Raw genomic sequence first — 12,975 nt, 5'->3', positions numbered from 1 at the left:
AAAATAGGACAAATTATGCGAGAATGAAATGATCACTGTAAGAGGACTCCCCATCCTATTCTAGATCCTTCTGGACGTTAGCCAGGGTCTAAGTCTCACGCTGGATGTTCCTTTTTAAAGAAATCACTTTCCACTGAATCCCCCCTTCAACCTCAGAGTCAGCCTGCTCTCCTGGGTTGCTCAGCGCCTCTCCTGGACCCCTACTTAGACTGCCCCTTCCTAGGCAGTTTTCCTTCCTGCCTCTTCCCCCAGCCTCCTATCTCCTTAGAGAACTGGTATAAGCTAAAGTGCTTTTTCAAAATCTCTATTATGTGTATTTGCATTTTAAAGGAGGTTTCTGGACAGGGCAATTCAAAGATAGAACTCTGGAGCATTTAGCCTGGGAAGATGGGTGTTGTGCATTTGGGGGGTGTGGAAGAAGGAACTTTTGCGCAGAGAGATTCTTATCACTCTTACAGTCATACTGAACAGAGCCTGGGAGGCTGGCCCTGACCAAGAGCCCCAGGGCCTCCAAGACCTTTGGACTAGGCTTGGCTGTAGGTAGGGAAAGGCTATTGCTATACTGTGGGAACCCCTAGGGGCTCTTTACCTAACAGCTGTGATTAATGAGTTGAATGGAGGAGGGGATGACTTCCTTCCTTGGCCCACTCAGAGTTCCCTGGAGGTGACAGCCACTCCAGGCACTCATCTCTGTGGCAGGCACCCCGTGGGAAGAGGTTGCATCAGCTCCAAGGTCTTTTCAGTTGTATCAGGTGGTCCTTAAGAACTGTATGTGGTTGAGACTCTGAACTCCCGGACACAGCAGAGAAGCAGAAAGTTGCCTTCTCAAAGGGGCACGTGTTCCCTGAGCTGTTTTATATCCCTGAGCTTTCCTGTGTCTTATGATTGTTTTCCCTCTGCCCCCTCCCCAAATATCCATTACGGACACTTAATCTTGTGTTAATTATGTATATGTTTCTGAGCCTACCAAATTCATCTGCATGTAGAAGTTTACTTTTATCCCATGTCATAGTTGTGGGGGCCAAGGCTCTTGGTCCTGTAAAGGTTTGCTGAAAATCACTGAGATGAGGCAGGTTGATTAATTGGAGAAAAGGCATATACGCTTATTTAACGTGCATTCACAGGAGCCTTCAGCATGAAGACTCAAAGATACAGGGGAAATTGTCCATTTTTATGCTTAGGTTCAACAAAATATGGACAGCCATATGGGAATATGATTGGAGGAAAAGCATAGATCTAAGTCTAATAGAATGAGTGGGGAAGCCCAGCAAGAGCTGCCTGTCTAGATTCTCCCTGGCCTCTCTGAGCGCACATTTCTTCCTTCTGGGTGTGGGGCAGGACCCTCTCTGGAATGGGGGTCTTATGACCTACTATCAAACAGGGTAGGTCAGATTATTTATTTATGGCCAGTTTTAATTTTTATTATTTATTTATTTGAAACAGAGCCTTGCTCTATTGCCCGGCCTGGAGTGCAGTGGTACGATCTCAGCTCACTGCAACCTCCGCCTCCCGGGTTGAAGCAATTCTTCTGCCTCAACCTCTTCAGTAGCTGGGACTACAGGCGTGAGGCACAACGCCTGGCTAATTTTTGTATTTTTAGTAGAGATGGGGTTTCACCATGTTGGCCAGGCTGGTCTTGAACTCCTGACCTCAAGTGATCCTCCCGCCTTGGCCTCCCAAAGTGCTGGGATCACAGGCATGAGCCACCGTGCCCAGCCCATATGGCCAGTTTTTATACAGATAGGGTGGAGGGAAAGTTAAACTAATATTTTTAGGTTTTATGGCTGGCTTTGGAAAAGGCTTCTGGTTTCTATGGCTAGCCTCCGAGGAGAATGGGACTGAGAGACAGGAGGGCAAGAGAAGGTCAGAGAAAATCATTTGCTTCTGAGGCTGCTGCTGAGGGCTTCATTTTGGGGTGTTGTTTTCTGAGCCCCAGCACAGTCTTTCTGGGAAGGTGGGAGGGTACCTGACTCCTTTTATTGTAGATCCAGCTAAGACTCCATGGCTGTCCAGAGCTTTCTCTGTGGTTTTCTCATGGTAACTGCAAATGGTGAAAGGAGGATATTTGGCAGGACTGTGCTCAAGGAATAGCAAGATAGAAGAAATGCCTGACCACTGTCCTCCCAGAGGTAGAATATTCCCAGGGAAATGCCTTTCTTTGTCAAAGTCTCTTTTCTTTTCTTTTCTTTTCTTTCCCTCCTTTCCTTCCTTCCTTCCTTTCTTTCTTTCGCCAGCTAAGTATATGCATGTACTTTTGGACCTGGAGAACAATAGAATGTACTGTTGTATTTTTATTCTCTTTGATTTTTTAAATTCCAGAATTTTCCTTTTCCTTTTTTGGGGAAGAAAAAAAGTAAAATAAATAAACTGTGATGATTTGACATTTCCCTGTAGCTTCAGAAAGGAAATTTATATAATACATATCTGTCTTTGGCTGTTTTCTCCCTCCAAGGTCAAGTTTGGTTTTTAGATGTGGCTTATAATACTTTATATTGTTAGAGGGTTTGAAACTCATCAATATTTGAACAACATCCTGAATTGGATGGTATGTGGGTTGTGTTATATTTGGCCTCTGTGTCTGCCTCAGAGGTGGGGGTTTTAGGATGGATTGATTAACACAGAATGTTAAGCCTAATAATGAAATTGTGGATGGTTCTGAGCTTGGAGCTGTCTATTCAGACTTTCTGCCACTGAACAGTGTGGTGGCTCCATTCACCCCATGCTGCTTTTTCTAGACTCGTCTTCACTTACTACTCACAGATTCCAATTTCTATTCTTGCCTGAACAGAGGAAGGGAGCCTTGAATACACAGGCAGGATTAGGCACATGAGTGGATAACCCACTTACAGTAGCCCACTTCCAGACAGCCCAAATTCTAGAAGAGCATCTAAAGAGGGATGGGTATTATTTCAATTTATTTCCATTTAATTCTCTGCATCCTTGGTCTAAGCACAGCTGTGTCACTGTGGTGATGTCCCTTGCCTATTGGGGATGATGATGGGAGCTGGGATGGCATATGGTAATAACAGATACCATTTATTATTGAGCATCGACAGCAGAACTAAGAAGATGTATGTGGGTTATCTCTTTAGTCCTCACAGTAACTCTGCAAGGTGGCATTTTCTTCATGCGGCAGATGGGAAAACCGAGGCTAAGAAGGATTACTCAACTTGCCCCAAACCACACAGCTTGAGTAGCAGGGCTACTCCAGCTAACTCCAGCTGTCTGTGCGCTTTCAACTGTTACCCCGCTACACCTGATCCCGCGGGCACAGGGCATGCGCGGGCGGTGTGGGCGCGTCGGGTCCTTCTCCCTTTGTCTGCAGTGAGTGATCCGCGCGCCCCCTGCCTGAGCCATCCCGGCTTTGCTTTGTCTGTTGCATTGTTGGCGAGACCTCTACTGCCTGAGTAGTTTGTTCAGTGCACAGTAAAGAGCTCTTTAGTTTTATTGAAATTATGTTTATGTTAAAATTATGTTATCCAAAATCTTGGATTACAGAGCAGCAGAACTGTTTGCAAGGACTACTGTTTAGTGAGTTGTTACAGAAACACCTTGTAAAATAATGAGTTATGTGAGCTGGAAGAATCAAAGATGTGGAACTGGGCAATGTAAACAATTTATTCCTGCCAGTAACAGCTGTAAAATGATGATAGCGCAAGTCTCTTGACTTTATTCCCTTACTCTGATTTTTATTTTACAGTACATTCACTTCTAGATCTTGTTGCTAGTTTTTAAGAAAATTTTAATTTTTTTTTTGAGACAGGATCTTGCTCTGTTGCCCTGGCTGGAGTGCAATGGTGAGATCACAGATCACTGCAGCCTGGAACTCCCTGGCTCCAGCAAGCCTCCCACCATAGCCTCCCAAGTAACTAGGACTGCAGGTGTGTGTGCCACCATGCCCGGCTACTTTTTTTTTTAGTTGAGATGTGGGGGAGGTGGGGAGGGTCTGCCTATGTTGCCCAGGCTGGTCTTGAACTCCTGATCACGATGGATCCTCCCACCTCAGCCTCCTGGTGTTAGAACTATAGGTGTGAGCCACTGCTCCTGGCCATAGATCTTTTTTTTTTTTTTAATACCTCACTCAATTTTTTAGAATTTTTTTTTTGTATCAAACATAATGGATTTCACATTGTTTTAAAAAGTAATTGGGAAGGAATACTGTTTCAGAGGACAGCTTACAGAAATCTCTACTATATGACACAGTTTCTTGTTGGTAAACACCATTAAAAAAGTTCAGAAGATTCCATGAGAACTTATAAATTACCTATGGTCTATTTAGAATCCTAAACAAATACACAGTGATTTACAGTGAACTGAGAGAGAAAGATCTAGGAAGAAGAAATTTTAAATTTGCTTGGCTCTTTTCTTTCCTTTTCTGAGACAGAGTCTCACTCTGTCACCCAGGCTGGAATGCAGTGGTGCTATCTCAGTTCACTGCAACCTCTGCCTCCCAGGCTCAAGCAATCCTCATGCCACAGCCTCCCAAGTAGCTGGGATTACAGGCATGCACCACTACGCCCGGCTAATTTTCTTTGTATTTTTTGTAGAGACGAGGTTTTACCCTGTTGTCCAGGCTGGTCTCAAACTCTTGGGCTCCAGTGATCTGCCTGCCTCGGCCTCTCAAAGGGCTGGGATTACAGCACTGAGCCATCGTGCCCGGCCCCCGATTTTATTTTCAAAAATACATTTAGTGACAAAACATCACTTTCTACCTACATACTTAATTTTGGTTTCTCTCAGTTTTATTTTGTTTTTGACACATTTAAATTCCCTAAATACTGTAATAAAAATATTCTAAATACATTCTAAATATTTTAAGCCATTTTTTCCCTCTCTCCCTCCTTCCCTCCCTTCCTCCTTCCTTCCCTTCCTTCCTTTCTTCTTCCTGTGTTCCATCTTTCCTTCTCCCTTTCCCTCTCTTCTTCTTCCTTTTAATCACAAGGTGCCTTCCCCTGTTAGGAATGAGACAATCATTTTGTAAAAATATTAATTTAAAAAATTTGTTTAGAGATGTCCTTTGAAATGAAGCTTCCATACTTTTCATACTTTGGAATTTTTCAAAAATATTCGTCTTGAAGGAAGTCTTGTTAAAATCTAAAGGACCGAGAAACATATTTTAGTTCTAAGGTGTTTTTATAGAGACTCTGATAGCAAATGAATGGAAAGAAATACTGCTTTATGCACTACGGAAATGCAATGATTATCCTGCTGCCAACGTAACCTGGAGTGATATATAACCACCTCTCCCTGGCCTGGGAGATTAATGAAATGACTCTAATTTTGGCAACCCTTCCCACCAAGAGTGGGTAACATAACTCTAAGTTGATTTGAGCAAAGGGCAGAGCAAACTTTAAACAGAGCATCATGGCTTCTACTCACTTTGGTGACATTCGGAGTGCTATTTCAGCCCTATTTGATGAAGGTTGTCTGGGACCTCCTCAGCCTCTGTTTCCATGCCTGTACCAAGATGACACTGTGACTGCAGTCCAACTTGCCTCCTCTGTCAGATGACACGCCCTTCAGATGATTGCGTTCGCCAGTTAATAAACAGTCACTTTTTGAAACGGAATCTCTCTCTGTTGCCCAGGCTGGAGTGGTATTATCTTGGCTCACTGCAACCTTTGCCTTCCAGGTTCAAGCAATTCTTCTGCCTCAGCCTCCTAAGTAGCTGGGACTACAGGCACCTGCCACCACACCCAGCTAATTTTTGTATTTTTAGTGGAGACGGGGTTAAGCTGTGTTGGCCAAGCTGGTCTCCAACTCCTGACCACAGGTGATCCACCTGCCTCGGCCTCCCAAAGTGCTGGGATTACAAGCATGAGCCACCGTGTCTGGCCCACTTGGTGTTTTGATCAGTCTTATAGGAATGTATACCTTGTGTTTTAAGATTCAACCATTTTTTTGGTTACTGCTTCACTTCTACCTCTTTCAGTTATTCATGCTACCTAAGTCAAAAGGGGCTTCTCCTTTGCAGCCGGCCCATAAGATAAGACTCTCAAGGCGATCTGCTTCTGTGGTAGCTAAGAGAATGAGCTTTGGAGGCTCACTGGCTGGGTTCAAATCTGCTCCCATCAGCACCTCATGAGGGTGTTAGAATGATTAAATGAGGTGCTATGTGCAGGAAAACACAGTGCCTACCACAGAGAAAAAGGATTTTAGTGTGTTTTTTTTTTAAACAAAACCTTCTGAATGTTTTGGTTCAATGGTTTTCTTCTAACAGCTTATATTATATTATCAGAGCCCATTGATCATAATGGCCAATAACATCATGAAAGGAGACATGGCACTTCTGGTGGAGGAACATGACCCCTCCAGTAAAGCTGTCCTGTCAAAACATCAAGCCCATATCTATTCAAGCCTCCGTGTAACTACCACTTCTCAGAAAACAATAGGGCACAGGCGGCACAGCCCAGAACGTGGGAACCCCTAGAACAAATGACTCAATGTCTTCAGTAAGGGAATAGCCAGAAAAAGTGTGTGGGGAGGGAACCTCAGATTAAAATAATGTCAATGGGATGGCAGCCAACTGCCACATGTGGACAGGTCCATTTAGGAGACAACTGGGAAAAGTAAACATTGACTGGACACTTGATACAATTAAAGACTTATGGTTAATTTTTAGTCGTCTTTTTTGTTTTTTTTTTTCTTTTTGAGACAGGACCTCACTCTGTTGCCCAGGATGGTCTTTTCTCAGGCAATCTGCTTGCCATGGCCTCCCAAAGTGCGGGGATTACAGGCATGAGCCACCACACCTGGTCAATTTTTTTTAGTAGTGATAATGGTTTTGGATTGGTTTTTAAAAGGTCTTTATTTTTAGAAATGTGTATGTAAATATTTTAGAAATATGCACTTAAATATTTATTTCAAATTTACGGATGAGATGATATGATGTCTGAGTATAGAGGGAACGAGAGTGGCACCACTGCCTTGGTAATTGTTGGAGCTGCCTGGTCGGTAGATGGTGGCTTATCATGCTGTTCTGTCTACTTTTATGTATGTTGAGATTTTTCAGGAGATGAACTAAAAATGATCAAAACAAAGCAAAATAACTACAACAAAAACAACCGTGCCAAAATCTAGTGGACCCTCAATATAAAGCAGCACATTCCCGCAGTTCCTCCACCTGCTTTCTGCTCAAATCATGGTGCCCGTTTCTAGGTCATTGATTACAAGAGGTTTCCTTACTAGGGCAGGTGATTTCCCCTATCATGGTTTATTATCCTTAACAGAATTTGAGAAAATGGCTGTTTCAGGTTGGTTGCTGTCACGTGCCTCTGAGGTCAAATACTGCTATCAGGAGTTGACAGTTGCTATTTGGCTCAAAGTACTTGAGGTCATGGTCACTCCATTATCTTTCTAAGACTGCAATTTTTGAACCTGCCTTTACTGGATATCAGGTGCTCGGTTGGTTGTCTTTTTATAGATGGCATCAATATCAGGTGGCATATAAAAGCTTTCCCAAACCATGATTGCCTTATTAATCAATTCATAAAACTGATCAGGAAAGTGTTAGGGTATCTATTAATGTAGTAGTTAGGAAATAAATCTAAACCCTACCTTTCTCTGATAAGTAGGTTTTAAAAAAGGAATGAGGATGAAGTTCAAACAAATGCATCTTATTATTTAATTTGCTCTTCTCTCTTTTGACCTATAATTTTTGCTCCATGCAATGTCTTCAGTTGGCAACTAAAAATATTTCTCTTTTCTGAGTGCAGATAGCCATAATTTGACAGTGTGGGTTCCTTTTGTTATTGCCTTCATCTTGGAGAAACTGGACATAGATTTTGGGGTTATTAAAATAAATTTTGAGCTAACAGATTAGATATTTTTGAATTTAAAAAAATCAATTCAAATGGCCAGGTGCAGTGGCTCATGCCTCTAATCTCAGCACTTTGGGAGGCTGAGGCGGGCAGATCACATGAGCCCAGGAGTTCAAGACCAGCCTGGCCAACATGGTAAAGTCTCATCTCTACTAAAAATACAAAAATTATCCGGGCATAGTGGTGTGCGCTTGTAAGCCCAGTTATTGGGGAGGCTGAGGCATCAGAGTCACTTGAACCCAAGAGGTGGAGGTTGTAGTCCTGGGTGATGGAATGAGACTATGTCTCAAAAACAACACAAAACAAAACAAAACAGCAATTCATTTGGCTTAAATAAAATTCTGTCTTCATGCTATCACATTTAATGAAGATGGGCAGCATGCATCTTTCAGAAATACTAATCAGTTTATCAGGACTCTGGACCAAAACATTTACTGTTTAAGTCAAATAAAATACTTATCTTATTAAAATCACTATGTTGGCTGGGCACGGTGGCTCACTCCTGTAAACCCAGTGTTTTTGGAGGCTGAGGAGGGAGGATCGCTTGAGGCCAGGAATTTGAGACCATCCTGGGCACACAGTGAGACCCCATGTCTAGAAACAATTTTTAAACATTAGCCAAGTGTGGTGGCACATGCCTATACTAGCTACTTGGGAGGCAGAGGTGGGAAGGTCACTTGAGCCCAGCAGTTCAAGGCTATGATTGCACCACAGCACTCCAGCCTGGGTGACAGAAGGAGACCCTGTTTTTATAAAATAGATAAGTAAATAAAAATAAAATCACTATATTGGGGATTATTTATTAAAACTCATGGGCATGCTAAAAGTTAATATTATATTTGATTAGTAAATTACACATTCTATCAGAGAAAGAAGTATAATTGTTATAATTCATTAACAATTCCACATATTTTATGATGGATACTAAATTTCAAGAATTTAAGAGTTTCTGATCCCTACCGGCCTTGGAAGTTTCGAGACCCGCAGAACATTCTGTCACTCTCCTCCACAAGCTTGAATGTGTGTTTCCGGTTCCTGATATCAAACCGAATGCATGCTGGTAATTTTCCTCTCCTTCTCACGGTGGGCTCAGGGGCAGTTTGGTTCTACATCTGGGTGGACTAGAAGCTTCTTTCTGTTTCTCTAATTCTTCCACATTCTGTAAGAGCTGGTTTAAATGTTATTTCTTCTGTGAAGTTTTCTACTTTGTTACCACAGCCCCCACCCCCCAGCTGAATTAAGCTCACCCTCAGCACTTAATCTGTTGTGTAAACACTGCAGATTTAGAGTTTAGATCATCCTCACACTCAGCCCTGGGCGTCCCAGAGCTTGGTGGCTTGCCCCTCTTGGCAACCCTAGGCCCTAGCAGGGTTCCAGGGCCGCCATAAATGTCTGTTGAATGACGGTGTTTCCTGCTTCTGCTTTGACCTCCATTTTGTCTTCTGAAGCTTTGCCCTATGCTTTCGAAAGGGCTCTCCTTTCATTTATCCCCTTAACCCCTCCTACCAGCCCTGAGATGTGGCTAAAGGAGTTCTAACAACTCTGAGTTTAAAGAGGCAGGCAATTTACCTTACCAAGTCCTACACTCAGTTTCTGGAAGAAATCTGACTACTACCAGGTCTCTCTACTCTCCTAAGACAGGTGCTTTGTTCTGTTTTTTGTTTGTACCAAGCAGTTGTCAAAATAACTTAAATATTAACATTGCTTACATATTCTCCACTCCTGAGAGATAGATAAGAACTGAACCATCGCTCATTCCTCTATGGCAATCCTAGGGCTGACTTTGGGACTATATCCAAAACCTCAGGGAGGCGCCTGGTCTCAACTCTCTCCACAGGATTCTGAGGCTCTGGAAAGGGGGCAGCAACCTGACCTGAGTTGGGTGAATCACCCTGGGCTCTCTGAGTTTTCAGGTACTATGTGCTACCTTGATGAGGGGAGTATTTGAACTGAGGGAAGGAAACTATGTCACGATGTCTTACGTTTCTTTTTCTGACTGCTGTCGTTTTTCCCTAAAGTGTATCACTAAAATATGACAGATGGAGCATCTCCATTTCATAAGTTGAAGTGCTGAGACCTGGGCATGGTGGCCATGCCCTTTATGAAGGAGAGCATTGCTCAAAGCCTGACAGTCACTGATGCAGGTCTGAAATCCCCAGTCTGCCCTGCCTTTTGGGGTACCAATGGGACTGATGTTTCAAGGCTGAAGTTTTAGATGCATTTCCTATGAACATGCTCCCATCCAGCTAAAAAGAATTAGAGCAAGGACTCTGTGTGTAATTCACACATGACTCTGCATACCAGTTTATAATAATTGTGTAATAAAAATGGCTTAGCCGAGAGTTGCTATGCAGCACTGTTTAGCAGCTTGCTTCCAATATCGCATTTACAAAAATTACATATTTCATATAATCAGGCCTGTCTCTTACTTAATCATCCCACACATCATATAAATCTTTAAAATGGACAGGTCTATAAATCACTAGCATTTTTCATTTACCACTTATTCTAAGCCAGGCAGTTTCTTATTTAAATTGCCATACGAATAAATCTAATAATCCTTATTCACTTACATCATCTCAAACTTTAAATCTTATTCCAGCTGAGGTCATAAGTGAAATCAGTATTGAGGGCAGAACTAGCAGCTGTAACAACTATAATAGCTTGCCAAATTATATTAAAGGGCCTAAATAACATTAAAAAAATTAGGAAAAATTGAATTACATGATTAAAGTGTGATGTGCTGAATCAGGCAAATGTGGGGCCTAAACAGAGCTTCTGCCTGGGGTGTGGCTTCCATGCGGGATTGGTGCCAACTGGAAGAGAGAGCTACTTGCCTAAACCCTCTCCTTGATTAAAATCTAGATCAGGGTTTCTCAACTTTGGCATTACTGACTTTTTAAAAAGAGATGGAGTCTTGCTTTGTTACCCAGGGCAGCCCCAAACTCTCTGGGCTAAAGTGATCCTCTTACTTCAGCCTCCCAAGTAGCTGGGACTATAGGCGCCCCAGCACTATTCACATTTGGGGTCAGACAGTTCTTTGCTATGGGGCCTGTTCTGTGCATAGTAGGATGTTTAGCAGAATCCCTGGTTTCCATCCGCTAGATGCCAGTAATGCCCTTTACCCCCAGTTGTAGCAGCTAAAAATGTCTTCAGACATTGCAAATGTTTCCTGAAGGACAGTCACCCCCACTGATAACTACTGGTCTGGATAATGAGACAAGATTGGATTTGGGCCTCTCCCAGGGATGTTGGGACATCTCTGGGTCTTCCAGGGAGACATGTTCTGCACTGTGCCCCTTTCTTTAGCCTTGGTTTTGTGGCGTTAGAGGACAAACAAGGAGTTCAGTGTGTATCTCATTCAAACAGTGGTCCAGGAGAAGAAGCAAAGGAGAAGGAACCATGATAAGGAGAGTAGGGAGAACATTCAGTGGACAGGACAACTCTGAACTCAGGGCAAAGCGTCTCTGATGTTGAGGACAGATAATTTCCTTACCCTTTCCCATTGAATTCTCAGCCCGCTCTATGCCCTTTATGAGAATACAGGGGCATCACAGACCTGACATTCACAGCAGCTCACAGCATGACTGTAGAGTAAAAATGATTTTTGTATGCACCATAAGTAGTTCAGAAAGGTGATGTGATTTTTGTAGGATCAAAAGAAAATGGTGAATGTTTGTATAGGGGACATTTAAATCTCAATAATTGGCTTTTGAGAAACAGCATTATCAGGCATGTACCAGTGTTGAGAATGAGAGATCTGGTTTCCTCTCTTCTTATGGCTGGTAGATTGTATCTTATGATGGCTGGCAGAGATGCCAATAGTTCACCTCCGAGCTGGGGAAGGAACTGGCTGCAATTAGTTTCCCAGAAAGATTCTGCCAGGTCTTTGACAGACTAAGGAGTTATTCCCCATATAAATCATTCTTGCTCTGCCATCTTAAATGCACATGCTGTTTAGAAGGGCATCCATCCTACATCACCTAAGACCAAATAAAGCAAATAGTGCCATTACAATTTGGAGATGAAACTCACTGACAGCTCAATGTAACAGAATGCCGGGGGGAGGCATTTGTAATTATGGGTTGGCAGTACCTCATGCCTAACTAATGGGAATGGTGACATCATTTATACCGAGGATCAGAAAGACAGAACCAGGAAACAAAATTAGAATGAAATTTGTTGTGTCCAGGAAATATGCTTTTTGAAAGGTTTTTGATCAGCATTGAGAATGGCAAAGTCATTCCATTGTCTTAAACCTATGGTGACTTCTGACTCATTGAGCTGTCAAACCAATTCACTTTGTATAGGAAAGAGACCATTAATCCAGCTCAATTTTATGTGTAATTTTTGGGATCTCACTCCATCTTTCCCCTTTATTTCTCCATATAAAATATTATTTTCATTCATGTTCTTTAAAGATGAACTTAAAGCTCCCAGCTATTTCATTTAGTCGTCCTACAGAAGATACAGATGATGCCTTCTGGTATCTTCCCACCTAATTAAAATGCTCCAGGATGCTTGATATTTAAGATAGCATTATTACTCCAACAGTAAAGAGTATAATTTTTCCTCACAGCCAATTTTCTGTATCTCCTTGAGTAGATAGAGACAGGATGAGAAGCCAAGGAATAGCCAGTGCTTTCCTGGTGTAGCTGGGCCCAACTGCCAGGGTGAAGTCACTATCTCAATTTCCACTTTATCTTTCTATTAGCTATGAATATTAGCAGTAATTGGCATTGGTGGTTTGGAGTAATTTCTACATGTTAGGCACGCGAATGTGTTTTTTGGATTCCAGAACTAATATTTGGCGACTCCAAGGCCAGGGATAAAAATGAAGAGATGGAGAGACAAGATTTCCTGGCCTCTAATTGGCAGCACCCGTTGACTCTGCTCGTGACCAGACTCATGAACGCTTCATCCAAGGTTTCATGTCATCCGTGTGAGGAACCTCTCTGATTTGAGAAAATCTTTCTTAAAATGGGCTTCTAGTTGTAAAGCCATTGTCTTTTTAGGAAATCATCAAATACCTTAAAGCTAGACACGCAATCAGCTGCATAAATGACACACTCACTAAATCAATCCTTTATCAGGTAAGATGATGGAGTCAGTGCCTGTTTTATTGACAGATCATTTTGTATCTTACATAAAATAT

The 12,975-nt window shown here is 42.4% G+C and overlaps 1 long non-coding RNA gene across 7 annotated transcripts in view, besides 1 other annotated feature; it reads left to right on the top strand.

Annotated features, from left to right (window-relative positions):
• Window positions 1-12,975, top strand: part of LOC105375199 (uncharacterized) — a 191,528-nt gene that overhangs the window by 48,370 nt on the left and 130,183 nt on the right. For 5 of the 7 annotated variants that reach the window (XR_927114.3, XR_927122.3, XR_927113.3 and 2 more), the window contains exon 2: window positions 12,619-12,913. The exons of 1 other annotated variant lie outside the window; for it this stretch is intronic. This is a non-coding gene — a long non-coding RNA (uncharacterized LOC105375199). Of the gene's footprint in view, window positions 1-9,544; window positions 9,734-12,618; window positions 12,914-12,975 lie in introns of those variants that run through there. One more of the 7 variants, XR_927119.3, reaches the window with a different exon arrangement.
• Window positions 3,204-3,273: an enhancer, noted in NCBI's record as "active region_25777". NCBI's record gives its function as "activates an Ori minimal core promoter by ATAC-STARR-seq in GM12878 lymphoblastoid cells {active_cell/tissue: GM12878}" and the evidence as "EXISTENCE:reporter gene assay evidence [ECO:0000049][PMID:35858748]".

This window comes from Homo sapiens, chromosome 7 (genome assembly GCF_000001405.40).
Source record: "Homo sapiens chromosome 7, GRCh38.p14 Primary Assembly".
Taxonomy (NCBI): domain Eukaryota; kingdom Metazoa; phylum Chordata; class Mammalia; order Primates; family Hominidae; genus Homo; species Homo sapiens.
The sequence above is the reverse complement of the archived record's forward strand: the minus strand, read 5'-3'. Positions and strand labels throughout refer to the sequence as shown.